The sequence below is a fragment of the Homo sapiens genome, chromosome 1 (assembly GCF_000001405.40).
Source record: "Homo sapiens chromosome 1, GRCh38.p14 Primary Assembly".
Taxonomy (NCBI): Eukaryota; Metazoa; Chordata; class Mammalia; order Primates; family Hominidae; genus Homo; species Homo sapiens.
Genome location: NC_000001.11, coordinates 28,857,662 through 28,885,536, shown reverse-complemented (window position 1 = coordinate 28,885,536; position 27,875 = coordinate 28,857,662). Strand labels below are relative to the sequence as shown.

The 27,875-nt window shown below is 51.1% G+C and overlaps 1 protein-coding gene across 1 annotated transcript in view, besides 9 other annotated features; it reads right to left on the bottom strand.

Moving 5' to 3' along the window:
• Positions 56-736: an enhancer, noted in NCBI's record as "H3K27ac-H3K4me1 hESC enhancer chr1:29211313-29211993 (GRCh37/hg19 assembly coordinates)". NCBI's record gives its function as "activates a minimal SCP1, AML or CMV promoter by ChIP-STARR-seq in naive H9 embryonic stem cells {active_cell/tissue: H9 hESC(naive)}" and the evidence as "EXISTENCE:reporter gene assay evidence [ECO:0000049][PMID:30033119]".
• Positions 56-975: a biological region, named in NCBI's record as "CRISPRi-validated cis-regulatory element chr1.4082". NCBI's record gives its function as "regulatory_interactions: EPB41".
• Positions 71-975: a transcriptional cis regulatory region, noted in NCBI's record as "candidate enhancer chr1.4082 targeted for multiplex CRISPR interference". NCBI's record gives its function as "positively regulates EPB41 gene expression with high confidence in K562 erythroleukemia cells {active_cell/tissue: K562}" and the evidence as "EXISTENCE:mutant phenotype evidence [ECO:0000015][PMID:30612741]".
• Positions 419-458: a transcriptional cis regulatory region, noted in NCBI's record as "EPB41 E2 GATA1 binding motif region targeted for CRISPR/Cas9 perturbation". NCBI's record gives its function as "positively regulates EPB41 gene expression in K562 erythroleukemia cells {active_cell/tissue: K562}" and the evidence as "EXISTENCE:manual assertion [ECO:0000218][PMID:33828297]" and "EXISTENCE:mutant phenotype evidence [ECO:0000015][PMID:27044088]".
• Positions 614-663: an enhancer, noted in NCBI's record as "active region_607". NCBI's record gives its function as "activates an Ori minimal core promoter by ATAC-STARR-seq in GM12878 lymphoblastoid cells {active_cell/tissue: GM12878}" and the evidence as "EXISTENCE:reporter gene assay evidence [ECO:0000049][PMID:35858748]".
• Positions 1,219-1,789: a transcriptional cis regulatory region, noted in NCBI's record as "candidate enhancer chr1.4081 targeted for multiplex CRISPR interference". NCBI's record gives its function as "positively regulates EPB41 gene expression with high confidence in K562 erythroleukemia cells {active_cell/tissue: K562}" and the evidence as "EXISTENCE:mutant phenotype evidence [ECO:0000015][PMID:30612741]".
• Positions 1,348-1,492: an enhancer, noted in NCBI's record as "145 bp enhancer 282 fragment used in the MPRA reporter construct; PK_construct_4257". NCBI's record gives its function as "activates an SV40 promoter by MPRA in K562 cells {active_cell/tissue: K562}" and the evidence as "EXISTENCE:reporter gene assay evidence [ECO:0000049][PMID:23512712]".
• Positions 1,404-1,443: a transcriptional cis regulatory region, noted in NCBI's record as "EPB41 E1 GATA1 binding motif region targeted for CRISPR/Cas9 perturbation". NCBI's record gives its function as "positively regulates EPB41 gene expression in K562 erythroleukemia cells {active_cell/tissue: K562}" and the evidence as "EXISTENCE:manual assertion [ECO:0000218][PMID:33828297]" and "EXISTENCE:mutant phenotype evidence [ECO:0000015][PMID:27044088]".
• Positions 1,412-1,429: a transcriptional cis regulatory region, noted in NCBI's record as "GATA motif; MPRA enhancer 282 activity is reduced when this motif is scrambled". NCBI's record gives its function as "necessary for full MPRA enhancer 282 activity {active_cell/tissue: K562}" and the evidence as "EXISTENCE:site-directed mutagenesis evidence [ECO:0005528][PMID:23512712]".
• The window catches only part of OPRD1 (opioid receptor delta 1), a 59,098-nt gene continuing 45,492 nt past the window's right edge, over positions 14,270-27,875 (bottom strand). Inside the window, exons 2-3 of the mRNA NM_000911.4 lie at positions 26,234-26,583; positions 14,270-22,795 (exon numbers count right to left, since the gene is read on the bottom strand). Coding sequence (NP_000902.3) covers positions 22,254-22,795; positions 26,234-26,583 — 892 coding nt within the window. The 3' untranslated portion in view covers positions 14,270-22,253. The remainder of the gene's footprint in view (positions 22,796-26,233; positions 26,584-27,875) is intronic.

Genomic DNA, 27,875 nt, shown 5'->3' with positions numbered 1-27,875 from the left:
GGAGGCAGGTGAGTCTGGGTTTTGGGCTTTGGGGCAAGGCACCCGCCCCCCACCCTGGGGTAAAATGAGATTAATAATAGTGCTAACTTTATATAGAGCTGTTGTGATGGTTAAATGGGAGTATGTGAAAATATATTTGCAAATAGTAATTAATCTAGTAGTATTTTTTAATTCCTCTCACGTGTACTCTTGCACCCAGGAGAGTGCAGGCTGTGAAATTTTTGATTTGGCCTCTGCAAACAGTGGCTCCTCCCCCAACCCCATCCCCACCCCTGACTCAATCAAAGGGCTAGGGAGAGGAAAACCCCAGCAGTCAGGTGGATGGGGTGATTCTAAAGAGCTGCTGTGGGCCCTGCCCCCTCCCTGCTGGGGCAGCCACGTGGCTCTAGCTCTGTTGGGCTGAGCTGCCTGTGGGTGACTCAGCAGTGCCAGTGCCTGCCCCAGCCTGATAAGAGTGTGTGTGTGTGTGTGTGTGTGTGTGTGTGTGTGTGTGTGTGTGTGTGTTGGCCAGGGAGGGCTCTGCGTTTCTGAATTTGTGCGTGGGGAGTGCATTTGGGAATATGCTTGTGATCCTGTATCTCCTGTTTCTGTGCATTTGTGTATGTGTATGTGTAGGGGGGTGTGTTTTGGTGCCTGTGAGGGTGTGCCCCTGTTTGTGAGTTTATATAGAGGGTGTGAATCTGTGTCTGTCTGTGTCCTATAAACAGGTTGTCCCCTGGGCCTCAGGCCCTGGGACCTAGAGAGCTCTGCCCTGTCCCACAGCCCCTCCACCCAGGCACCTGTGTGTGTGTTTCTCGTTGAGGTGACTTGTGCACTTGTGTGGGTGAAGGCCTTGTGTGGCTTTGTCAGTCACTGAAGCGGGAAAGCTGTCACTCCCTGGACTGCAGGCCCCCTGCCCCATGGCCTCTGCCAGTGACATCATAATCTTCGCCTCCATCCCCAGACTGCAGGGAGCACTTTGCTACCTGAGATGCCCCCGTCAGCAGTGACCTCTTGAAGAAGCCACTCACATTTAGCGATCCTGGTTCTTTTACAGGCATTTGCTCATTTTATCTTATTGAATCCTAACAGCCAAAAATGTTCTAAAGAGCTTCTGAGGCTCAGAGAGCTAAAGTGGCAACCCAAGGTCATACCACTCTTTTTTTTTTTTTTTTTTGAGACGGAGTCCTGCTCTGTCGCCCAGGCTGGAGTGCAGTGGCGTGATCTCAGCTCACTGCAACCTCTGCCTCCCAGGTTCAAGCAATTCTCTTGCCTCAGCCTCCCTAGTAGCTGGGATTACAGGCACAGACCACCATGCCCAGCTAATTTTTTTTTGTATTTTTAGTAGAGACGGGGTAAGTAATAGAGGGTGTGAAGGTGACAGGCAGGGGGCAGCTTTCCTCCCTTGGCTGAGCATTCAGTTCCCCGGAGCCTGTGGGGCGCTGATAAGCTTGGGGGGTGGAGGAAGGAACCTGTTTGTGTCTCCCCCCGCTCCTCTGAGAAGGCCTGGACCTCCAGGAATTCCTTATCCTGTCAGAGCCTGGGCACTCCCACCAGCTTCAGATGGGCTTGAGGTGGGTGATAAAGAAGGCAAGGAACAGACAGGTTGGGGGCGGGGAAGTGCACACGTGGGAGCCTCTGTTCCTTCAGCAGCGCTTCATTGAGCGAATTATTAAAAGTTGAGACTGACAAAGGGGCAGAGAGTCACAAGACCAGGCCACAAGAAATGGTAGAGAGGGAGAGGACTTTCAGGCCCAAGGCAGCCGGTGTGGCCGTTTCGGGTTTGAATCCTGTCTCCACCATTTACGGGGCTTATGACTTCCTCCTAGCCTGTCTCCTCATCAGTCAAAGGAGTTAATGGCTCTCACCCTGCTGCTTTTCCCAGGACCATGATACTAGAAGGGAAAGGCATTTGCAAAGTGTGGATAATGGATGTTCCTGCTGTTACTCACGGCTTCCTATGAGGAAGACCCTAAAGCAATTGTATGCCCAGAGCCCAGAGGGGAAAATGACTCCATCTGAGGGAGTAAGGAAGACTGCCTGGAGGAGGTGACCTCCCAGCTGGACATTAAGGACTAATTTACTACATGGAAATGAGAGAGGGCATTCCAGGTGGAGGAACAGCCTGCACAAAGGCTTAGAGGTAGGATAGTGAAGGTGTACTCTGGGAACAGAAAATGGTCTGGGATAGTTGAAGGACAGGGTGAATCATGAGACCAAATTGTGGAAGGCTTCAAATGCTGGGTTAAGACACAGGGGAAGAGACATTTGGGGATGGTCAGTGAGTCTTTGAGATAGAGGGGACTAGGGTGTGGCAGTCATTTAGGGGTGGGTAAGGGGACAGTGAAAATCGGTAGGCAGTGGGTCAGCAACCCTTCTCCAGGAGAATGCATTTGAAATTTGGGGCCAGGCACAGTGGCTTACGCCTATAATCCCAGCACTTTGGGAGGCTGAGGCAGGCGGATCACATGAGGTCAGGAGTTCGAGATCAGCCTGGCCAACCATGGTGATACCCTGTCTCTACTGAAAATAGAAAAAAATTAGCCAGACATGGTGGCGGGCGCCTGTAATCCCAGCTACTCAAGAGGCTGAGGCAGGAGAATCACTTGAACCTGGGAGGCAGAGGTTGCAGTGAGCCGAGATTCTACCACTGCACTCCAGCCTGGGCAACAGAGTGAGACTCTGTCTCAAAAAAAAAAAAAAAAAGAAAAGAAAAGAAAAGAAAAAAGATAAGAAAATTGGGGAAAATCCTCAGGAAGACATTGAGGTGGGGATGAAGTTGCAGAGCCCTTCCAAGGGAGAGATCGGGGTTGGTAGGGATGGAGAAAAAGCCAAGTCAGACACTGCAGCCCAGGGAGGGGCCCATGTATGGGCACAGAGGATGCCAACAAATGAACACTGAAGAGCCCTGAAAGGCCCCACTGCCTAGGAGTTCCTCGGCTTTGCCACAGCGTGGGGCAGGGGCCAATCCTATCAGGAGAACCCCTTCCCAGGGGAGGTGACATCTCCGGAAGGCCTTGTTGAAACAGCAATGGCTGTCAATGATTGTTGGTGTATTATATACGTGCCGGGTGCTTCACTGACCTGTTTTCACAAGATAGCCCTATTTTATGGATGAGTTCAATGAGGCAGAGGGCGGTGAGGTGATCTGCTCACTATCACACAGCCAGAACATGACAAGGCCAGGACTTGAAGGCGATACTCGCTGTTTGCAGGGAGGGGCAGGAGAGAGCTGATGGAGGTGTTTGGGGAGAGCTGAGATTCTGGCTATGTGGGACTCTGAAAACTGGAATGAGCAGTTGCCAGGGTGAGGGAAAGACGGTGTCTGCTGCCCCCTCGAGGTCATGGAGCAGTTGGGGCGGAAGTGCAAAGCTGAGCCTTCCAGGCTGCCAGAGGCTGAGTTCCTGGGAAAGGCGGGTGACTTTGCGTGCACAGGTGTGCACTCAAGGCAGGAGGTGATATGAAAGGGGAGCTTTCAAGTGGGCTATCCTGGATTGCAACCTCACAGCTTGCCACAACTTGCTGTGAAACCCTAAGTCCCTTATGTTTCCTCTTCATTTTTTCTTCTCTGGGGACTTTGAAAGGAATAAGAGAGATCATCAGTGGCCAGGCGAGGTGGCTCACACCTGTTAGCCCAGCACTTTGGGAAGCGAGGCAGGAGGATCACTTGAAACCAGCCTGGCAACACGGTGAGACCCTGTCTCTAAAAAAAGATGAAAATATGCTGGCCTGAAAGTAGTGAATTATCTCAATTGATTATTCACCATCAGTTACAGATCAAACTCTTTGTTCTATTCTTTCCCTCCTCACTACTGCACTTGACTAGTCTTTTAAAAATTAATAAATAAAATTTAATTTAAAAAATAGGCGAGGAGCACTGACTTATACCTGTAATCACAACAATTTAGGAGACCAAGGCAGGGTGATTGCTTCAGCCCAAGAGTTCACAACCACCCTGGGCAACGTGACGAAACCCCATCTCTACAAAAAAAATACGAAAAATTAGCCAGATGTGGTGGCATGCGCCTATAGTCCCAACTACTCAGGAAGCTAAAATGGGAGGATCGCTTGAGCCCATGAGGTCTAGGCTATAGTAAGCTGTGATTGTGCCACTGCACTCCAGCCTGGGCAACAGAGCAGGACCCTGTCTCAAAAATAAATACAAATTTTAAAAATAAAAGAGATTATCTTACATCCTATGAAGTCCTTTCACAGCCTTTATTCTCTCTTTGCAGTTGGGAAAACCGAAGACCCAACGGGCAGATCCAGGATTGTGGGGCCTGAAGCTTGTCTGAGGTGGGGGGTCTTCCTAGATAAAGAATGCGAAGTTAAGAATACAGGCCGGGCACGGTGGCTCATGCCTGTAATCTCAGCACTTTGGGAGGCCGAGGCAGGTGGATCACCTGAGGTCAGGAGTTCAAGACCAGCCTGACCAACATGGTGAAACCCCATCTCAACTAAAAATACAAAAATTAGCTGGGCATGGTGGCGCGCACCTGTAATCCCAGCTACTCAGGAGGCTGAGGCAGGAGAATCGCTTGAACCCAGGAGGTGGAGGTTGCAGTGAGCCGAGATCACACCACTGCACTCTAGTCTGGGCGACTGAGCAAGACTCCATCTCAAAAAAAAAAAAAAAGTTAAGAATACAGAAGGCGGCTGAGTGTGGTGGTTCACGCCTGTAATCCCAGCACTTTAAGAGGCTGAGGCTGGTGGATCACTTGAGGTCAGGAGTTCGAGGGCAGCTTGACCAACATGGTTAAACCCCGTCTGTACTAAAAATACAAAAATTAGCCATGTATGGTGGCGGATGCCTGTAATCCCAGCTACTCAGGAGGCTGAGGTAGGGGAATCGCTTGAACCTGGGAGGCAGAGGTTGCAGTGAGCCGAGATTGTGCCACTGCACTCCAGCCTGGCGACAAAGTGAAACTCTTTTTTTTTTTTTGTATTTTTAGTAGAGACGGGGTTTCACCATGTTAGCCAGGATGGTCTCGATCTCCTGACCTCGTGATCCGCCCTCCTCGGCCTCCCAAAGTGCTGGGATTACAGGCTTGAGCCACCACGCCCTGCCGACCAGCCCTTTTCTAATTCACAGTCTGGTGGTCAAATAAGACATGGAAGGAGTCTTAAAATGTTTAGGGCCAAGAAGAACTTAGATATCAACTAGTCCAAGAGGTTATCAAACTCTTTTTTTTCTTTCTTTCTTTTTTCTTTTTTTGAAACAGGGTCTCACTCTGTCACCCAGGCTGGAGTGCAGTGGCACGATCATGGTTCACTGCAGCCTCAACCTCTCCAGTCTCCAGCAATCCTCCCATCTCAGCCTTCCGAGTAGCTGGACTACAGGCATGCACCACCATGCCTGGCCAATTTTTTTTGTATTTTGTAGAGACAGGGTTTCGCCATGTTGCTCAGACTGGTCTCGAACTCCTGGGCTTAAGCGCTCCTCATGCCTCAGTCTCCCAAAGTGTTGGGATCACAGGCATGAGCCACTGTGCCCAGCCTCAGACTCTTAATCATAGAAGCCCAATGTATGAAACAGAGGGAAGCAGGGCTGTTCTGAGTGAAGCAGTGGATGTGGGTGGGTAAGGTGGGGTTGGCCTCCCCTCTGTCTCCCCCTACACCCTCCATGTGGCTTCTTCCAGCTTCTCTAAGGAACTACGAGTTGGAAACACTGCCCTAGTTCAAGCTCTTTGCTTTAACCAGTGAGAAAACAGCAGACCGGCAAGGGTAAGAAACTGGACCAAGGTCACAGAACAAGGGAGTGGCTAAGGCTGGATTCAGACCCAGGTCCAACTGACTCCAAGTTTGAGGTTCTCTTTGCTCAACCTCAATACTGAAGAGTTGGGACAGAACCATCCCTCCCCACCACGACCCACCTCCCCCTGCTCATCCACTCAGCAGAGTTGGGATGGCGACAAGAAACTCAAACAGGTCCCAAAAGCCTGTAGGAGTGGGACAGCAAAGAAGGAGCCCATTTCGTGCCCCCACATTGGAATGAGGACAGGGATTGGACTTTTTTTCTTTTCCTTTTTTTTTTTTTGGAGACAGAGTCTCACTCCGCTGCCCAGGCTGGAGTGCAGTGGCGTGATCTCAGCTCACTGCAACCTCCGCCTCCTGGATTCAAGCAATTCTTCTACCTCAGCCTCCCGAGTAGCTGGGACTACAGGCGCACGCCACCACGCCTGGCTAATTTTTGTATTTTTAGTAGAGATGGGATTTCACCATGTTGGCCAGGCTGGTCTCGACCTCCTGACCTCGTGATCCGCCCACTTCGGCCTCCCAAAGTGCTGAGATTACAGGCATGAGCCACCGTGCCCAGCCTGGGACTGGACTTTTGTCTTTGTTCACTGCTTATCCTTAGTCTGAGTACAGAGCCCACCACATTGTGAACAATAAAATACTAGTTGAATGAATTAATTTAAAGCAGCAGCTCAGGGTAGGAGAAACTTCCCAGTGGTGGGGAAATTATCCCTCCAGGTTGACCTCATCCTGATCCCCTGATTCACACAGGTATTGAACGTGTGCCCCAGTGGGAGGTGTGGATACAAAGAGGTGCATGCATGTGCGTGCCTGTAATATGAATGTATGTGTGATGTGTATGTTAACAGATGCCAAGAATGAGTCTGTGAGAGAGGACAGAATGTATCCAGGCTGTGGAGGGTGTAGGGGTGGGTGATGTTTGGGTACACAGCTAAGCGTGCGCATGCATGGCCTCTGGGTCACAGGTGTATAGGTGTGGGCCTATTTGTATGTGTCTGTGAGGTGTGTGTGAACCAAATCTGGGCTGGGCTTCCTGCACGTCTTAGTAAAAATTCCCAGCTTCACTGCTTCTTCCTTCTCCTTCTCTTCAGAGCACTTTCCTGACTATCAGAAGAAGGCATTGTGAGACTTTGGGCCAGTCACTTCCCCTCTCTGAGCTCCCATCTCCCAATTTTTTGTTTGTTTGTTTTTGAGACAGGGTCTGACTCTGGCTGGAGTCCAGTGGTGAGATCATGGCTCACTGCAGCCGCAGTCTCCCAGGATCAAGTGATCCTCCCACCCCAGTCCCCTAAGTAGCTGGAACTACAGGCCTGTGCCACCATACCTGGCCAACTTTTAAATTTTCTGTAGAGACGGAGTCTCACTATGTTGACCAGACTGGTCTCAGCTCCTGGGCTCAAGTGATTGTCAGACCTCAACCTTCCAGTGTTGGGATTACAGGTGTGAGCCACAACACCCAGCCCAGCCCATTTCCTCTTTTTTTTTTTTTTTTTTTTTTTTTTTGAGATAGAGTCTCGCTTTGTCACCCAGGCTGGAATGCAGTGGTGCCATCTCGGCTCACTGCAACCTCTGCCTCCCGGGTTCAAGTGATTCTCCTGCCTCAGCCTCCCGAGTAGCTGGAATTACAGGCACCCACCACCACGCCCAGCTAATTTTTGTATTTTTAGTAGAGACGGGGTTTCACCATGTTGGCCAGGTTGGTCTCGAACTCCTGAACTCAGGCGATCCTCCTGCCTCAGCCTCCCAAAGTGCTGGGATTACAGGCGTGAGCCACTGCACCTGGCCCATCTCCTCATTTGTTAAACACACTCACTTTAAAGTGTTTTTTTGTTTGTTTGTTTGTGTGTGTGTGTTTTTTGAGACAGAGTTTTGCTCTGTCGCCCATGCTGGAGTGCAGTGGTGCGATCTCGGCTCACTGCAGCCTCCGCCTCCTAGGTTCAAGCGATTGTCCTGCCTCAGCCTCTTGAGTAGCTGGGACTACAGGCGCGCGCCACCACGCTCGGCTAATTTTTGTATTTTTAGTAGAGACAAGGTTTCACCATGTTGGCCAGGATGGTCTCGATCTCTTGACCTCGTGATCCACCCCGCTTCGGCCTCCCAAAGTGCTGTGATTACAGGCGTGAGCCACCCCGCCCGGCCTAAAGTGTTTTTAATTCATTTAATTGAAATAGCTATTAGAACTTTTCATGGCCAAGCACTGCATAAGGCACATGGATTGAGAAAACAAATATAACAGCTGTAAGGGACAGCAGTACCTGACATATAACGGACAGTTAGTCAATGATAATTCCCCACCCCACTCACCTCCCTTGTTCGTGTCCCTCTTTCAGGAACCAATTCCAATGCACAGCTTCCAGGGATGAGCAATGGAGGACAGAATGGAATAGAGCAGGAACTAAGCAAGGATGCTAATGCAAGATATAGCCGGTAGGTGGCAGCAGCGTCCGTGAAATGAGCCCGGTCTCGGGCAGCCTTGCCTAAATTTCTCCCAAGCCAAGCTGTTTGACTGTGTGCACGTGTATGAACACAGGTGTACGGATGTGCATGTGTATGGGTCAGGTGTATGGGTCACAGGTGTACAGATGGAGGCCTATTTGTATGTGGCTGTGAGGTGTGTGTGAACAGCTCCCCGCCGCCCCCACTCCCCAAAGCAGCAGCTCTTAAATTTTGGGTCTTGGAGCATCCAATGAAGATTTAGGATCCTGCAGTTAAGTACGAAGTTCGTATTCCATTTAAAAAGGCTCTGGAATCAGCTATGGACCCGTTGAACATTCTTCTGGGTAAGGAAATACACCCAAATGTATGTGTGTGTGTGTGTGTGTGCGGGTTCTTTTCAACTCAAACATATAAATAATTACTTTTTAAAATGTTGTGTCGGGCGCGGTGGCTCGCACCTGTAATTCCCACCATTTTGGCAGGCGGAGGCAGGCGGAACACTTGAGCCCAGGAGTTGGAGACCAGCCTGGGCAACATGGCAAAACTCTGTCTCTACCCAAAAATACAAAAATTAGCCGGGGATGGTGGCACTCACTTTTAGTTCCAGCTACTCGGGAAGCTGAGGTGGGGAGGATCACCTGAGCCTGGGAAGCAGATGGCACAGTGAGCCGAGATCGCGCCACTGCAATCCAGCCTGGAAGACAGAAGAGACCTTGTCTCAAAAAAAAAAAATTTTTTTTTATAAAAATGTATGGGTGATATGTGAACTTTCGTTACCTGTGTGTAATACTTACTGATCAAATCGGGTGTTTAGGGTGTCCGTCCCCTGTGTATAATACATTTTTGTTAAGTATAGTCACTCGACTCTATTATCAAACACTGAATTTATTCCTTCTTACTGTATGTTTGTACCCTTTAACCCAGTTCTCTTCATCCTCCCCTCTCCCCGCACTCGCCCTTCCCAGCCTCCGCTATCTATCTTCCTACTCCCTATCTTTAGCTCCCACATATAAGTGAGAACACGTGATATTTGTCTTTTTGTGCCTAGCTTATTTCTCCTTTTTTTTTTTTTTTTTTTTTAGTGCAGTGGCGACATCTCGGCTCACTGCAACTTCTGCCTCCCCCCAGGTTCAAGCGATTCTCCTGCCTCAGCCTCCCAAGTAGCTGGGACTACAGATGCGCGCCACCACACCCAGCTAATTTTTGTATTTTTAGAAGAGATGGGGTTTCACCATATTGGCCATGCTGGTCTCGAACTCCTGACCTCAGGTGATCCACCGAACTTGGCCTACCAAAGTGGTGGGATTACAGGTGTGAGCCACTGTGCCTGGCCTTGTGCCTGGCTTATTTATCTGAAGATAATCACCTCAACTTCCATCCATGTAGCTGCAAATAATGTGATTTCATTCTTTTTACGGCTAATATTCCATTGTGTATATATACCACATTTTCTTTATCCAGCCATCCATTGATGAACACAGGTAGATTCTGTGTCTTTGCTCCTGTGAATAGTGCTGCAATAAACATGAGAGTGCAGATATCGCTTTGATAAATTGCTTTCTTTTTCTTTGGGTAGATACCCAGTAGTGAGCTTGCTGGATCAAATGGTAGTTCTATTTTTCGTTTTTTGACAAATCTCTATACTGTTTTCTGTAGTGACTGTACTAGCTTATATTCCCAACAGTGTATAAGAGTTCCTTTTCTCCGGCTGGGTGTAGTGGCTCACGCCTGTAATCCCAGCACTTTGGGAGGCTGAGGCAGGTGGATCACCTGAGGTCAGGAGTTTGAGACCAGCCTGACCAACATTGTGAAAGCCCGTCTCTACAAAAAATACAAAAATTGTCTGGGTGTGGTGGCAGATGCCTGTAATCCCAGCTACTAGGGAGGCTGAGGCAGGAGAATCGCTTGGACCCAGGAGGCGGAGGTTGCAGTGAGCCGAGATTGCACCATTGCACTCCAGCCTGAGTGACACACCGAGAGTCTGTCTCGGAAAAAAAAGAGTTCCTTTTTTCCACATCCTCACCAACAACTGTTATTTTTTGCCTTTTTAATAATAGCCATTCTGACTGGGGTAAGATGATATGTCATTGTGGTTTTGACTTGCCTTTCTCTGATGACCAGTGATGTTGAGCATTTTTTTCATATATTTGTTGACCATTTGTATGTCTTCTTCTGCAAAATGTCTATTCATGTCCTTTGCTCCCTTTTTTTTTCTTTTCTTTTCTTTTCTTTTTTTTTTTTTTTTTTTGAGACAGAGTCTCGCTCTTGTCGCCCAGGCTGGAATGCAATGGCTCAATCTTGGCTCACTGCAACCACTGCCTCCCAGGTTCAAGCAATTCTCCTGCCTCAGCCTCCCCAGTAGCTGGGATTACAGGCACCCACCACCACCCCTGGCTAATTTTTGTATTTTTTAGTAGAGATGGGGTTTCACCATGTTGGGCAGGCTGGTCTTGAACTCCTGAGCTCAAGTGATCCACCTGTGTAGGCCTCCCAAAGTGCTGGGATTACAGACATGAGCCACTGTGCATAGCATATTTTTTTTTTTTTTTTTTTTGAGATGAAGTCTGGCTCTGTTGCCCAGGCTAGGAGTGCAGTGGTGCAATCTTGGCTCACTGCAACCTCCACCTCCTGGGTTCAAGAGATTCTCCTGCCTCAGTCTCCTGAGTAGCTGGGATTACAGGTGCGCGCCACTGCACCCAGCTAATTTTTTGTATTTTTAATAGAGACAGGGTTTCACCATGTTAGTCAGGCTGGTCTTAAACTCCTGGTAAACTCCTTAAACTCAGCTAATCCACCCGCCTCAGCTTCCCAAAGTACTAGGATTATAGGTGTGAGCCTATAAGGCACCCGGCCTTTTTTTTTTTTTTTTTTTAAATAGTTGAGGTCTCACTCTGTCACCAAGGCTGAAGCGCAGTGATATGATCTTACTCACTACAGCCTTGAACTCCTGGGCTCAAGGGATCCTCCTGCTTCAGCCTCCAAAGTAGTTGGGTCTACAAGCATGTGAGCCACCATGCCCAGCTAATCTTTACTCATTTTATTTATTTATTTATTTATTTATTTATTTATTTATTTATTTATTTATTTATTTTTGAGACGGAGTTTAGCTCTTGCTACCCAGGCTGGAGTGCAATAGTGTGATCTCAGCTCACCGCAACCTCCGCCTCCCAGTTTCAAGTGATTCTCCTGCTTCAGCCTCCGGAGTAGCTGGGATTATAGGCATGCGCCACCATGCCCGGCTAATTTTGTATTTTTAGTAGAGATGGGGTTTCTCCATGTTGGTCAGGATGATCTTGAACTCCTGACCTCAGGTGATCAGCCCGCCTTGGCCTCCTAAAGTGCTGGGATTACAGGTGTGAGTCACCGCGCCCGGCCAGGTTTCTCAGTTTCTATAATGAGCACATATTCCTTTGATACAGGACTAAGAAACCTCATAAATATCATTGAAGAAGAAACCTTAATGTTCTTTTCCACCAGTCTTTCCTTTTCCCTTAGGGAGGATGGGATTCCCATGTGTTTGGTGGTGCTGCGGGGTCCCCAGCAGTCTACAGAGAGAGAGAGAGAGAGAGAGAGAGAGAGAGAGAGAGAGAGAGCAGGCGGGTCTTGCTCAGGTGGGGCACCCTGACAGCAATTGTAGAAGATCCAGGCAGGGATCCAAGAGTGTAGCTAGAGCCAGCAGAGAATGCTTCCTGGGGGCAGAGGCAGTGGAGCTGACCTGGAAGGGTGATGAAGCTGGCACAAGACAGGAATCTGCTCTGCCTGCCCCCTCACTAAGAACTGCCTGCCCTGAGCTGGACTTCAGCAGTCCTCTTCCTGTAGTGGGTCCCCTTCCCCCTCAAGAGACTTTGAGGTTGCAGGCTGGGAAGTTGGAACTTAGGTTCCCAGGGTCCTCCATTAGAAAGGGGCCTGAGAGATCATCTGATTTTCCACACAAATAGGAACTATGGAAGGTTTAAGGCAGAGTGTGTTTTCCCCCATCAATAAGAATGTACCCTAGTTTCCATGCACAGGTGTGTCTCATTGAACCCTCAAGAGAGTCCTGGTAAATACACTGTTTTAATTATTATTGTTATCTTTTTCTTTTTTTTTTTTTGAGTTGGAGTTTTGCTCTGGTTGCCCAGACTGGAGTGCAATGGCGCGATCTTGGCTCACTGCAACCTCCGCCTCCCAGGTTCAAGCAATTCTCCTGCCTCAGCCTCCTGAGTAGCTGGGATTACAGGCATGCACCACCATGCCTGGCTAATTTTGTATTTTTTAGTAGAGACAGGGTTTCTCCATGTTGAGGCTGGTATCGAACTCCTCACCTCAGGTGATCCTCCCGCCTTGGCCTCCCAAAGTGCTGGGATTACAGGCGTGAGCCACCACGCCCGGCCCCTATCTTTTTCAAAAGAGGAAAGTGAGGCCCAAAGTGGTCATATGGATAAGGTTTTCCTCAGGGTATACACAAAGGTGAATAAAAAAATCTCTGGATAGGCGGGGCGCAGTGGCTCTCACCTGTAACCCAGCACTTTGGGAGGCCAAGGCAGGTGGATCACTTGAGGTCAGGAGTTCGAGACCAGCCTGGCCAACATGGTGAGACCCCAGTCTCTACTAAAAATACAAAAACTAGCCGGGCATGGTGGCGAGTGCCTGTAATCCCAGCTACTAGGGAGGTGGAGCAGGAGAATCTCTTGAACCCAACAGTTGGAGGTTGTGGTGAGATGAGATGGCGCCACTGCACTCCAGCCTGGACGACAGAGCAAGACTCCCTCTCAAAAAAAAAAAAATCTCTGTATACATTCACATCAACACCGAGATGCTCTCACTCATGCTGTGTGCTCACACACACATACACACACACATACACACACACTCTCTCTCTCTCTCACCTTCACAGCTGTCCTTCCCAGCTTTGGTGGGAGTTGGCTCTGACTAGATCTGTCAGGCCTCTGTGAAGTCTTCCTGACTGAGTCTCTCTCTATGAGCAGAGTGGGGCCAAGAAGCCACCCCAACTCCTACCCCCGGGCAGCCTGGTCGCCCTGGCCCTGCCCACACAGCCTGCCCTGAGGCATGCTGAGATCCCAGTCTGCATCAGGGCTGCCCATCTGCCTTGGTGCTCATCACCTTGACATGAACAGGCCCGAAGGTGAGTGGCCCTGGGTTGAGGACTTTGAAGGGAAGTTGCCCCAGGGCTGGGGGAGGCTCCAGGCTCTGGTGGCCTCCTAAGGATGGGTCACATGTGATGGGAAACAGATCTGGGTCAGGAAAGAATTGCCTTCCAGGGAGTTACTTATTAACCACAGGGGCCAGCGACTATTTGAGAACACTGAGGAGGCAGAAGTCTCCTGGGGAACGGGGTTCTAACTCCCACCCCAGGGCCAACTTGAATGCACACAAGGAGGTCTGGTGCTTCTATGGCCTGAAGGAAGGGTCACTGAGGGGCAGAGAGATGGGAGAGAGATTTAGTGGAGCCCCAAGAGGCATGTGGGGTGGGGAGGGCTCTGGAGAACAAGGGACTTAGATTAGGGGAGTGGCGGGGGGGAGGGCTGCAGGGAAGGGGAGGCGCCAGTTCAGAGGGTGGAAGGGGAATGGAGCACCGAGGCCTGGTTTGGTTCAGAGCTCGCTCTAGGAAATGCCTGCCTGTGTGTCTGTCTCTCCCATTAAACTAGAGCCTTTTTTTTTTTTTTTTTAGACAGTCTCATTTTGTCGCCCAGGCTGGAGTGCAATGGCGCAATCTCGGTTCACTGCAACCTCCGCCTCCCGGGTTCAAGCTATTCTCTGCCTTAGCCTCCTGAGTAGGCGGGATTACAAGCACCCACCACCATGCCCGGCTAATTTTTGTATTTTTAGTAGAGACGGGGTTTCACCATCTTGGCCAGGCTGGTCTTGAACTCCTGACCTCGTGATCCACCCGCCTCAGCCTCCCAAAGTGCTGGGATTACAGGCGTGAGCCACCACACCTGGTCCAAACTAGGGTTCTTAAGGACAACATTGCCTCTCCCTCTGAGACACATCCTCAGGGCAGAGCCAGACTTCCCCATAGGCTTATGTGATCCCCCAGACTGGGGGCCCCTTACAAGGGAACCTGGCAGAGGTAAGCAAACAAAACAGCCAGAGATGCAGACACCGAGAAGAGGGCTCACTTTATTGAGAAAACAGAAGGTTGAGTACTTGGTACCAAGATGGAGCCTGGGGTAGGCAAAAAGCCTGAAAACAAAGCTTTAAGCTTCCTTTTTTACATGCCCGCCTCCCTGCCCCTAATTGGGGCAGCTCCTATTACAGACCCCCAGGCATTCTTTTCCCTGTCTCTGGGCAAATGCCCAGTAGATTTTACCAACAGATGTCTGTTTCTGGGACCCAGGAACATGAGGGAAGTGTCTCAGTTCTTTTCCAGGATGGCAGAGCCTTCAGAACCATCAACTCCTACCCCTCCATCGTGCAGAGGCCCAGAGAGGGACAGAGACCTGCCCAACACCACAGCAATGAAGTGGACAATGAAGATTCAAAACCACATTTGCGGTCTCCTCATTCCGAGAGGAGATTCTAGATGAGCCCCGTTACAGGAGTGTATTTGCACCGGCACACGCCAAGGGACTCCATCCCCATGACGCAGATGGCCCGGGACCTTCTTCCTTTCCAGGCTGTCCCTTCCTCTTGGGTCCCTGAGAGGGCAGTCCTGGTGAGGGCAGGAGAGGACAGCTAAGGCTAAGGAGCTTGGGAAAAGATGTCCTCTTAAGAACTGCTTTCCAGCACATGTTGTCCCACCTTCTGAAATTCAAGGAGATGGTTAAAAGAGAAAAGCCTTTCTCCGGACCCACCTGCAGCATTAAGAACCATGGGTTGGGCTGGGCACGGTGGCTCATGCCTGTAATCCTAGCACTTTGGGAGGCCGAGGTGGGTGGATCAGTTGAGGTCAGGAGTTCGAGACCAGCCTGGCCAACACGGCGAAACCCCGTCTCTACTAAAAATACAAAATTAGCCGGGCACGTGCCTGTAATCCCAGCTACTCAGCAGGCTGAGGCAGGAGAATTGCTTGAACCCGGGCGGCGGAGGTTGCAGTGAGCCGAGATCTCGCCATTGCACTTCAGCCTGGGTGACAGAGTGAGACTCTGTCTTAAAAAAAAAAAAAGAAAGAAAGAAAGAAAAAAAAAAAGAAGCATGGGTTGGTGCAGGCATGGCCTAAAACATTAGATAATATGAAAAAAGCTGCATTTTATTGGGCACTTACTATGCACCAGGGACATTGTTCATTAGCTCAGTAGATAACTACTGTGTGTCCATTTGCATTTCCTGGGAACACTTTCATGACCAAAACAGACAAGGTCCTTCACTCATAGCCTCTTTCTGAATCTTCTCAACTTCTCATCAGCTAAGTGCTGTCATCCATGACTGAGAAATGGCTCAGAGTGAAATGACATGCCCAAGGTCACAAGGCAACAACATGGCAGTCAGTCAGAAAATTATCAAACAAGCAGGACTTCCAAGGCAAGGAAGAAATGGATGGGGAGAGGGATCTACCAAGGTTACAGCAGTTTTTTGAGCAGCTGGCACGTGCCTCTGCTGCCAACATGATGAGGTACAGAACCCAGCACAGGGAATGCTCAGCCTGTGACTGTGAGCTGGATGTGAGAGTCTCCTGAGGACCCTCGGTATACTCAGAGCATTTCCTCTCAGGGTGCAGGAAGAGGAAAGCAGAGGAAGTGGACTTGAAGGACCAAAGGTGGGATCCTAGCTGAGCCAATCACTGAGAAGCCATGTGGTCTTGGGCAAGTCATTCCCTTCTCTGAGCCTCAGTTTCCCCATCTGTAAAATGGAGGTAATGATACTATGCCTACCTCATCATCATGCTGTGAAGATTAAATGAGTTATGCCATGGAAGTGCTGTACATTACCCATTGATAATGTCTCAGTGGCCTCTCAATGAAATGGAGTGTGACAGAGTGCCACACTCTGAAACGGCTCATCCCCGGTGATGGTGCTGGGACTAGAACCCGGGCAACCTCGCAGTGCCATGCCCTACTGCATCACTACGTCCACCTCGAGGGCCCCCTCCAGCTCCTCTCTAAGCCCCATTTTGAATTCCCAAGCTGCCTGCAGCCTGAACCACACAGCCATCTGTCACCCAACTCTCAATATCTGCAAGCTCAGCGTGGGGCGGCCAGGTCCTGATTTGCTCCCGTCACTCCTCCCGGCTCCCAGAAATAAAGGAATAAATACATGATGAAAGAGAGGCATCTGTATGTGTTTTGTGTGTGAGTGCAGGGGCCAGGATCTGGGTGCCAGGGATGGGGGGTGGTCACTTCCTAGGGGCTTTGGGGCCGCTGGGGCCGGCTTCAGTCTGGATCTGCAGCAGGTGTTAGTGGGAGCTGGCAGCCAGTAGTCATGCCCTAGGTGAGGGATCTGCGGCTGACACAAAGAGAGGGCTGGCCTTTGGACAGAGACCCAGCAGGTGCCCAGCCTGGACTGTTGTTCTTCCAAGTCCTCTCAGGATGCTAGTGGGCCCTCTCCAACTTGAGGAGCATTTCTTTTTAATTTTTTTTTTTTTTCAGACAGAGTCTCGCTCTGTCGCCCAGGCTGGAGTACAGTGGCAAGATCTTGGCTCACTGTAACCTCTGCTTCCTGGGTTCAGGCGATTCTCCCGCCTCAGCCTCCTGAGTAGCTGGGATTACAGGTGCACGCCACCACGCCTGGCTAATTTTTGTGTTTTTAGTACAGACAGGGTTTCACCATGTTGGTCAGGCTGGTGTTGAACTCCTGACCTCATGATCCACCCGCCTTGGCCTCCCAAAGTGCTAGGATTACAGGCGTGAGCCACTGCACCCAGCCCTTGAGGAGCATTTCTAATTCCAAGCCCAGCAAGCCTCCTTAGAGCAGCTGCCTCTGGCACACGTGTAATTATCAGAGAATAAGCCTGTATCGAGGCCCCACTATGTGCCAGGCACTTTGGTGGCACTTTGCTTACCATATCTCTAGCTTTCAGAGAGTGCTCTCGTGGAGGTGAAGTGACTTGCCTAAGATCACACTGCTAGCACGTGGCCAAGAATTCGGCAAAGCTAGGACTCTTATTAAGTGAGGCTGATGATCGTATTAGAGATGGACCAATTCCCACATCTCAACTCTAGAAGGAAACTGAAGCTCAGAGAAGGCAAATCCCTTGTCTAGGTCACACAGCCAGTTAGCTTGAGAGCTGGGATTTGATCCAGGCTTGGGGGCTGCCTGGGCCATGTAAAAAACTAAATTGGAGAGCTCCCATCACCCTCCTGCCCTCCCTACTCGCATCCTCTCTTATGACACTTGACATTATCCATCACTCCCTCCTCCTGGGAACGCCCTCCTCCTCCAGTTTCCATGGTAGCACATTCTCTCCATCCTCCTCCTGCTTCTCTGGCAGCTTCTCACTCTCCATGGTGGCTCCTGGGCCAGGAAGCAAGGGGATCCCCAAGCTGGATCTCCAGTCTCTTCTCTCTCTCCATCACTAGCCCCGACAGCTCACCTACTCTTCCCTGTAGGTCTCTAGCTCTGACCCTGAACCCTGGCTCCACTTGTAAGCAGTGACTGCCACTTACCATGTACTTAGAGTTTACTTACGTTCTGGGCCTTATCCCTATACATACATTAAATCCTCACAACCACCCGTGAAGGAAGTCTACTCTACAGATGAGGAAACTGAGGCTCAGAGAGGGAAAACCAAGATCTGATTCCAGGCTTAACCACTACTTCTACTGCATCAAGACGAGGTATGAGAGCTGGGCACAGTGGCTCACACCTGTAAACCCAGTACTTTGGGAGGCCAAGGCAGGAGAATTGCTTGAGGACAGAAGTTCAAGACCAGTCTGGGCAACACAGAGACACTCTGGTCTCTATTGAAAAAAAAAAAAATTGGCCGGGCTTGGTGGCTCACGCCTGTAATCCCAGCACTTTGGGAAGCTGAGGCGGGCAGATCCCCTGAGGTCAGGAGTTCGAGACCAGTTTGGCCAAATGGTGAAACCCCGTCTCTACTAAAAATAAAAATATTAGCTGGGTTATGGTGGTGCACACCTGTAATCCCAGCTACTCAGGAGGCTGAGGCGGGAGGATGACTTGAACCCAGGAGGCGGAGGTTGCAATGAGCCGAGATGGTGCCACTGCACTCCAGCCTATGCGACAGAGGGAGACCCTGTCTCAGAAAAAAAAAAACCCAAACAAAATAAATGAATAAAAATAAAAATAAAATTGCTGGGCATGGTGTCACACACCCGTCGTCCCAGATTCTCAGGAGGCTGAGGTGGGAAGATCACTTGAGCCCAGGAGTTTGAGACTGCAGTGAGCTATGACTGCACCACTGCACTTGCACTCCAGACTGGGCAACAGAGCAAGACACTGGCTGAAAAAAAAAAAAAAAAGATGATGAAGAAGAAGAGATCTGAAACAGTAGGACATTTTGAAATCAGGGGCAAAAACTTCCCTCCCTCCTCCTGGAGGGAGATAAATGGAAATTTTGGGGGAAACAGACCTACTCTGCAGTTTTGAGAACCCTGTGACGATCTAGAATTACACTGTCAATTTAGAGCTTTAAAATGCACCATGCACAGTACATTCTGAAACGTGAAGATTTGGAGAGCTTCAGGAGGAACAAAAGTTCATGGAAAATTGCTCGTTTCCTTTAGATTTTTCCATTTGGTTTTAGGTCTTCAAAACCTCATTCTGGGGTTCCAGCTTCTAAGGCCTTTCTACTTCACTGATGCCTGGAATTAACTGGAAACATGGACCCTGGAATTCCAGGGACCCAAGTTCTGCCACTACGAACAGGCCCTGTGACTTAGGAGCAAGTAGCCTGACCTCTCTCAGCCTCAGCTCTCTTTGTCCTCAATGGGGATAACACTACTTCCTCACCAGGCTGTCCTGAGGATCAGGTGGGCTGATGCACACAAGACACCTGGCAGAGAGCCTGGCACACAGAAGAGCTTAGTTAAGCCCCATGCTCCAGCTGCACCCAACTTGTTGGGTTTGCCAAGCATTTAAACATCCCCATGCCTCCGCACACGCTATTTCCTCTTTTTGGTGGCCAACTCCTATTCATCCTTCAGGGTCCCCGACCCTTTTCCACCTCTTACAGAACTGCGACAAACATGTGTTTTAGTGAAAAGCTAGAAAAGGCACTTCCCTGTGACACCCTCCCTGGGGCTCCCTGTCACCGCACTCATCACACTGAGGTGCAATCATCTGTTGATGCTTTATCTCCCAACACTGGCTCAGGCTTTCTGAGGGCAGGGCCAAGGCTGACTCATTCCGAGTCCTGATGCCCAGAGTGCATGCTTGGCATGAAGTAGATTTCAATACAAGTTTGCACTACCTTAAACACACGTGGTCCGGACCCGGGCCCTGCTGACCTCAGGACAGATTTACATATCAGAAGGGGCAAAAAACAGCCAGATCTGTTACAGACACAGGAGATGGCAGTGAGTGGGCTTCAAGCAGCCTTGAAACAGGCCTATCCTGGGAGGGGACACAGGTCCTGCAGGGAGAGTAAACAGCCTGGCTCCAATGTCACCTCCTTCAGGAGTCTTCCCCAGTTCCTAGATTGTCCCTTTTTCTGCCATACCCCCAAAGCATTCACAGGAGGACCCCTGATGAGGAGAAGTGTCTCCTGCCATGCTGACGACCTCCCACCCTCAGACACAGGGGTCTCTGTGGTCACAAGGTAGTGAGAGTGATCTAGGTGGCTTGGGACCCCAGGTCACAATGGCTTGGCAGGCTGGATGTGAGTGCTGGGCATGGCCCCACATCTTTCCAGGACCCGGGGTAGCCATTTCCCAAAGGAGGCACATCCCCGGGTCTGGGGCTGCTGGGAGCCTCACCCTGAGAAGGGGGCTGTGCTTTGCCCTCTGAGAGCATCCCTTCCCCCTAATGTGCCCAAAGCCCCTCTTGGTGCCTAAGTCCCCAGCCCCCTGCATGCTATTCAGTCCCTGCTGGAGTGACAGCCTCCCAGCTTTTGTTCCAAAGACATGGCTGTCAAAGGGAAAAGAAGTATATTGTTTCTTTTTCTTTTTTCTTTTGTTTGAGACAAAGACGTCAATTTCTTTCCATCTGTCCCAAAAAAGGAAGAAAATTAAATTTGTTTTTACAAGGATGTCAGCACACTGCTTCAATAGGGAGTCAGGGGTGCATTACTGAGGCAGTGTTGGTGAGGGAGGGGACAGCAGCGGAGGGAGAGGAGATGAGGCACGGGGGAGGTACAGAGAACAAGGACAGACACTGATATTCTGGGAAGCAAAGATCCAGGAGTGCCTGAATAAAATGCCGAACCAATGAAAAGAAAAACTTCTACACCCAACTCCAGGTGGATATCACTCTCAGCAGCGTGAAGGGGACAGCTGGGCTGGAGCAGGTGGGGGACCTGGGGAGCCTGGGGGGAAAGGCAGAGGGGGACACACACTGATGCCGGCATTGCAGTTACAAAAGCTTCTCCCCCCAGTTCCTTCAAGGTCAGGTCCCCATATGGGCAGTTCCAGTTCACTGGAGTCATTGACACCAGACACATGGATGCAGCCAGATGTTGGGAGAATGGAAGAGGATTTCATCCAGGTTCTTATCAGGGCCCAGGACCCAGCACCAAGTGCGAACTGATGCTTCTCATACCCCGCCCCCCGCCCTCAAGAGTCCCAGGCACCACTTACCATCTACGGGATCTAAGTAGGTGGTCCTCTGTCCTCCAGTATCTGGGCCAGAGAAACTAGGGCCCTGGGGACTCACAGAAAGCATCCACCTTCCACTGGAAGACCTAACCTTGAAGCAGGAGCCCACCTCTTCCTCCACCCACCCACCACCACCCCTTGGCACGGAGGTCCACTCCGGGTCTGGGTTTTCGAACTGGTTTTGGAAGCCTTCTCCTTCCCAAGCCTCTGGGCCCCCATTAGTACTCAGTTCTGGGGACCCTACTCCAACCAAGGTCCTGTCTTATTACCCTATCCTGGAGTGGCTGCCCCCCGCTCTGCTGTCCTGTCCCAAGCCCCACTGTGGCCACCGATTCTGAGGGATTCCTGCCCATTCCAAGGAAATACATGCCTGTCAAAGAGATAAAAGGTATACTGTTTCTCTCTCTTCCTATCTCTTCTTCCCTCATTCTCCCTCTCTCTCCTTTTTGAGAGACAGAGTCTTACTCTGTCCCCCAGGCTGGAGTGCAGTGGCACCACCATAGCTCACTGCAGCTTCAAACTCCTGGGATCAAGTGATCCTCTCACCTTCCAAGGAGCTAGGCCTGCAGGTACACACCACCATGCCTGGCTAATTTTGTATTTTTTGTAGCGACAGGGTCTCCCATGTTGCCCAGACTAGTCTCGAACTCCTGGGCTCATGTCCATCCACCTGCCTCGGCCTCCCAAAGTGCTGGGATTACAGGCTTGAGCCACCACGCCTGGCCCCTCAGTCTTTTATATTCTATTTATAAAGGTGTCAAGTCGGACCTGGACCTCAGCGAGCCTTGCCCCTTGCTAGAACTCAGGGCTGGGACTGTATCCCGTATCCAAAGATGAGGCCACAGGCCCTTTGCACAGGCGCCCTATCTGGTGACCAAATCTTCAGCTGTAGCCACACCCAGCTGTCCTGTCTCTGGGTCTCCCCTCACAGGAGGCTCCTCCCTACTACACAGAGGCCCAGTCTTGCAGCTCAGTTTTCAAGCAACTGTCCCCACCACTGCCCTTTCTGGGTCCTGGGCCCGGACCCCCAACTCCGAAAGTCCGGCTCCAAGTTAGAAACCGAAGCTGTCTCAAGGTTGAAGCCCCGCCTTCCTGGAGATGCCCTGTTTAAGGACTCAGTTGTAGAGCCACAGGTCCCGCTCCTCTCCTGGAGTCACTGGCTTTCCCGCCCCACCTAGAGCCGTGGACGGGGCACCCAGACCAGAGGCACTGCGCCATTGATCTGTCCTCTGCCTCGCCCCAAACCAGAGGCCCACCCCATGCCCATCTAGCGGCCCGGTCCCGTCTCCGAAACAGAGGCCCCATCTGGCGGTCCCAAGCCTCCGACCTTCTACTGCCCCACTCCACATCATGGCTCGCGCCTCCCACTGGGACTCATGTGGCCTCCGGGTCACTAGGGAGGGGCGCTCTGGGGGCCGGATGGCCTGGTCAGGCGGCAGCGCCACCGCCGGGACCATCGGACGGGGTGCAGGCGGTGACACGCTCGCGGGCCGTGGCTTCGCGGGCGCGGCTGAAGCTGCTGGGGTCTGGGCGGCCGCAGGGCTTGCGGCAGAGCTGGCGGAAGCAGCGCTTGAAGTTCTCGTCGAGGAAAGCGTAGAGCACGGGGTTGAGGCTGCTATTGGCGTAGCCCAGCGCGATGCACAGGTGCAGCGCAGCCACCACCAGCGGGTCGCGCCGGTCGATGTCCACCAGCGTCCAGACGATGACGAAGATGTGGATGGGCGCCCAACACACCACGAAGGCGCCCACAACCACCAGCACCATGCGCGTGATGCGCCGCAGGCTGCGGTCCTTCTCCTTGGAGCCCGACAGCAGGCGCACACTGCGCAGGCGCAGCAGCATGAGGCCATAGCACACGGTGATGATGAGGATGGGCACCACGAAGGCGAAGAGGAACACGCAGATCTTGGTCACCGTGTCCCAGTACCAGCTGGGGCTGGGGAACTGGAGCATGCACACCACTGCCCCGTCTGGGCCGCGGAAACAAGGAAAGACAGACGGGGTGAGGGGCCTGTGTGCCTAAGGGGCCCCCACCTGCTTGCCCACCCTTTCAAGGCTTGGGCAAGTCCCACCACCTCCTCCCAGCCTTTGTTCAAGGGGATTCTTCTGTCTGGAGTGTCCTCCTCGGCTTCGGTACTTGGTGAACTCTTAGTTATCCGTAAAGACCTAGCAGGATTGGCCCTCATCAGGGAGGTCCCCTATGTTCTCTCCTGGCCCCTTTTCAGCCTTTGTGTCCATGGGTGGCCGTAATGAAATCGTTTAGCTCAGCCCACTGAATGCCAGTCATTGCAGTAACTCAAAGCACCTTGACCCATTTCCAAACTAGCTCCATTGGGGACAGGACTGCTAAGACAGACAACATGAGCTAGGAGCAGGACTCAGGCCCTACTACATAGTGTAAGGAAATTACTAAACCTCTTGGAGCTTCAGTGGAGTGGGGCTAATGACAGTACCCACATCTCCAGGATTGTCGTAAGGATTAAATAGGCTAAGGCGGACAGGTGCGGTAGTTCACGCCTGTAATCCCAGCACTTTGGGAGGCCGAGGAGGGCAGATCATGAGGTCAGGAAATCGAGACCCTCCTGGCTAACACGGTAAAACCCCATCTCTACTAAAAAAAAAATACAAAAAAATTAGCCGGGCATGGTGGTAGGTGCCCATAGTCCCAGCTCCTCGGGAGGCTGAGGCAGGAGAATGGTGTGAACCCAGGAGGTGGAGTTTGCAGTGAGCCGAGATCGTGCCACTGGACTCCAGCCTGGGCGACAGAGCGAGACTCCGTCTCAAAAAAAAAAAAAAAAGAAAAGAAAAGAAAAGGCTAAGGTACCTAAAGCATTTAGCATAGTGGGGTTCAAGCTCTTGGCGTACCCACAGGGAAAGAGGGGCATATATGTGGGGGAGTCCAGGACTCAAGGATAGGGTCAGGCTCCCTAGAGGGAAGCAGGTCTCAGCTTAATCACAAGAACCTCCTGGCCAGGCATGGGGCTCATGCCTGTAATCCCAGCACTTTGGGAGGCTGAGGCAGGTGGACTGCTTGAGTCCAGGAGCTGGAGACCAGCCTGGGCAACATGGCAAAACCCCATCTCTACAAAAAAAACAAACATTAGCTGGGTATGGTGGTGCATATCTGCAGTCCCAGCTACTTGGGGGGCTGAGGTGGGAGGATCGCTTAAGCCCTGGAGGTTGAGGCTGCAGTAAGCTGGGATAGTGCCGCTGCACTCCAGCCTGGGTGACAGAGCGAGACCCTGTCTCAAAACAACAACAAAAACAAAACAAAACTTCCTTCCTTCTGGGAGGAAAGCAGACTTCAGCTTAACTCAAGGACTTCCTTCTTGAGATAGGAAGGGTGCCTAGGATGAAATGAGCTCCCCATTCCTGGAGTGTGGGCTTGGGCTGGATGAACACCTTAGGGGGTGTTGTGGGATTCTGATACAGCCTTGAGGCTGGCCCAGGGGACTCCCAGGATCTCTTGGAATGCTAGGATTTAAGAAGCCACACGATGGACTTGAGGCTAAGAAGTGAGAAGGGGCTGGGGATCCACAGACAGAGTGGGTCCACAGGACATCAGGCTGGCAGGACCCCTAGAAGTAACTGAATCCAAGACCTTCATTGTATAGGAACCAGAACAGCACTTGTTTAAGGTCACACAGCAAGTGGCCCACAGGTTCAATAAGTGCTGATGGCACACACTGGGAAAGTGTGTGTGTGAGGGATTGTGGAGTGAGGAGGCCCATCTGGTCCAGCCCCAGGAGGGATGCAGTTAATGGCCCGTAAGCTGAAGGCTGACAGTGAGGAATGGGGCTCTGCTGTGAGTCAAGGCCAATGGCTCACAGGCTATAAAAGGGCACCAGGGACTCTGCCCTTGTGAGGGTCAAAGGTAACCAAGAAGCTTGTTCTCTCCCACCCACAGCATCAACCCTCTGCAAACTTCCACAAAAGGGACTAGAAGGAGTAACAGACCTGGGGGCAGGAACCCTAGGTTGCAGGCCAAATTCCACAAAATGCCTGGCTGTGTGACCCTAAGTAAACCACCTGACCTCTCTGATTCTGTTTCCCTACAGTCAAATGGAGGTAGGAGTCCCTGCCTTGTCTATCTCACAGGCTTAATCATTTAATAGCTATTATTCATTGGGCCTTGGCGATGAGCCAGGACTTGTCCTAAGTATTCTACACATATTATCTCTTTTAACCTTCTCAACATCTCATGATATAGTGTGACTCAGAGAGGTTAATTAGTTACTATGTCTGTGGAGCCCTTCTAAACAATATTTCTCACTTCCTTGCATTAAGGTGGGGCCATGTGACCAGCTGTCACTAGAAGAAATGGGCCATAAATTTTTTTTTTTTTTTTTAGACAAGTCCCATTCTGTCGCCCAAGCTGGAGTGCAGTGGCATGATCTCAGCTCACTGCAACTTCCGCCTCCCAGGTTCAAGTGATTCTCCTGCCTCAGCCTCCCAAGTAGCTGGGACTACAGACGCCCACCACCACGCCTGGCTAATTTTTGTACTTTTAGTAAAGATAGGGTTTCACCGTGTTGGCCAGGCTGGTCTGGAACTCCTGACCTCAAGTGATTCACCCGCCTTGGCCTCCCAAAATGCTGGGATTACAGGCATGAGCCACTGCACCCAACCAACATTTAAAGTGGCTGTGCTTTCTCCTCGCTCCCTCTCCATATTCATCTGCCGGCCAGATGCCAGCAGTAGAAGATTCAGAAACCATCAACAGGAGGCTGGGTCCCTGAATGTCTGTGCTCCTCCTACTCACACTGGATTGTGATGGGAGTGAGAGAGAAACCTCTACAGTGTTAAGCCCCTGAGCTTTGGAGAATGTTATTGCAGCTCCCCTGATACAGGCAGTTACTATAATTACCATTTTAGCTCCTATTTGTCATTCCCTGCAGGCTATTCTCTAGGCTTTGCTTTGGTCATCCAGGCCAGTGGTTTTCAAATTAGGATGAAAGGGAGTTTAAAATGGGACCACAGATCTTGCAGCCTCCACTGCTCACTGGTCAGTGACACCCTCACCTCACTGGACATCCAACCATCTCTCTATACATCCACACATCCCTGGCCAGCCACCTACATGTACATAACCAGCCATCCATAATCTCCTTCATAAATTCATACATTCCCTTTGGCCAGCAACCCATATGACCACTGATCAGTCATTCATCTTCACAATAGTCAACCATCCGCATGCCCCCCTGGCCAGCTATTCCCATTCCCATTGGTTGACCTTCTTCTACACTCCCACTGGCCAGCCACCACACCATCATTGATCTTGATCAGAATCCAACCTCTGCTGATGAGCCACCTACACTCACCCTGGTAAGTGCCCTGCAAGCCCACAAAGGCCCATGTACTGCCTCCTGTGGTCAGTGGCCTGTGCCATGGTGCACTCACTCACTCACCCCGGGGACGGGTCACAGCCATGACCATGATGGGCACGCCAACGCCTGAGGCCAGGACCCAGATACAGATGTTGATCAGCTTGGCCTTGGCAGGCGTGCGGAAGTCCAGGGCCTTGACAGGGTGGCAGACAGCGATGTAGCGGTCAACACTCATCATGGTGAGCGTGAAGATGCTGGTGAACATATTGTAGTAGTCGATGGAGAGCACAGCCTTGCAGAGCAGCTCGCCGAAGGGCCACGTCTCCATCAGGTACTTGGCACTCTGGAAAGGCAGCGTGCTGGTGGCCAGCGCATCGGCTAAGGCCAGGTTGAAGATGTAGATGTTGGTGGCCGTCTTCATCTTAGTGTACCTTAGAAAGAAATGCATGTGTAATTAATCCCATTTCACAGATTTCAGTTTCACATGAAACTCAAGGAAGGGAAGTAGCTTTCCTAAGGACATGCAAAAGGTCAGGGGAGGCTAGGCATGGTGCCTCACAACTGTAATCCCAGCACTTTTGGAGGCCAAGGCGGGTGGATCACCTGAGGTCAAGAGTTCAAGACCATCCTGGCTAACAAGACGAAACCCCATCTCTACTAAAAATACAAAAATTAGCTGGGTGTGGTGGTGGGTGCCTGTAATTCCAGCTACTTGGGAGGCTGAGGCAGGAAAATTGCTTGAACCTGGGAGGCAGAGGTTGCAGTGAGCCGAGATTGCGCCATTGCACTTCAGCCTGAGCGATAAAAGCGAAGCTCTGTCTCAAAAAAAAAAAAAAAAAAGGGTTGGGGCAAAGGTGGGACTAGAACCCTGCACTATCTGATTTGGCATCGCTCCTTTCCCCGACAACAGAAGCAAAAGGATTTCTCTGGTTGTGAATAACTTTGGCAGAAGGTGTTTTAAGAAAAATCCTGGCCGGGCGCGGTGGCTCACGCTTGTAATCCCAGCACTTTGGGAGGCCGAGGCGGGCGGATCACGAGGTCAGGAGATCGAGACCATCCTGGCTAACACGGTGAAACCCCCTCTCTACTAAAAATACAAAAAAAATAGCCGGGCGTGATGGTGGGCGCCTGTAGTCCCAGCTACTCGGGAGGCTGAGGCAGGAGAATGGCGTGAACCCGGGAGGCGGAGCTTGCAGTGAGCCGAGATTGCGCCACTGCACTCCCGCCTGGGCCACAGAAGCGAGACTCCGTCTCAAAAAAAAAAAAAAAGAAAAAAAAAGAAAAATCCTAGGCCGGGTGTGGTGGCTCACACCTGTAATCCCGGCACTTTGGGAGGCCGAGGTGGGCGGATCACGAGGTCCAGAGATTGAGACCATCCTGACCAACCAACATGGTGAAACCCTGTCTCTACAAAAAATACAAAAATTAGCTGGGCGTAGTGGTGCACGCCTGTTGTCCCAGCTACTCGAGAGGCTGAGGCAAGAGAACTGCTTGAACCCGGGAGGCAGAGGTTGCAGTGAGCCGAGATAGTGCCATTGCACTCCAGCCTGGGCGACAGACCGAGACTCCGTCTCAAAAACAAAAAAGAAAAATCCTAAGCCAGGTGCAGTGGCTCATGCCTGTAATCCCAGCACTTTGGGGGGCCAAGGCAGGGCAGGTGGATTGCTTGAGCCTAGTTCAAAACCACCCTGGGCGACACAGTGAAACCCCATATCTACAAATA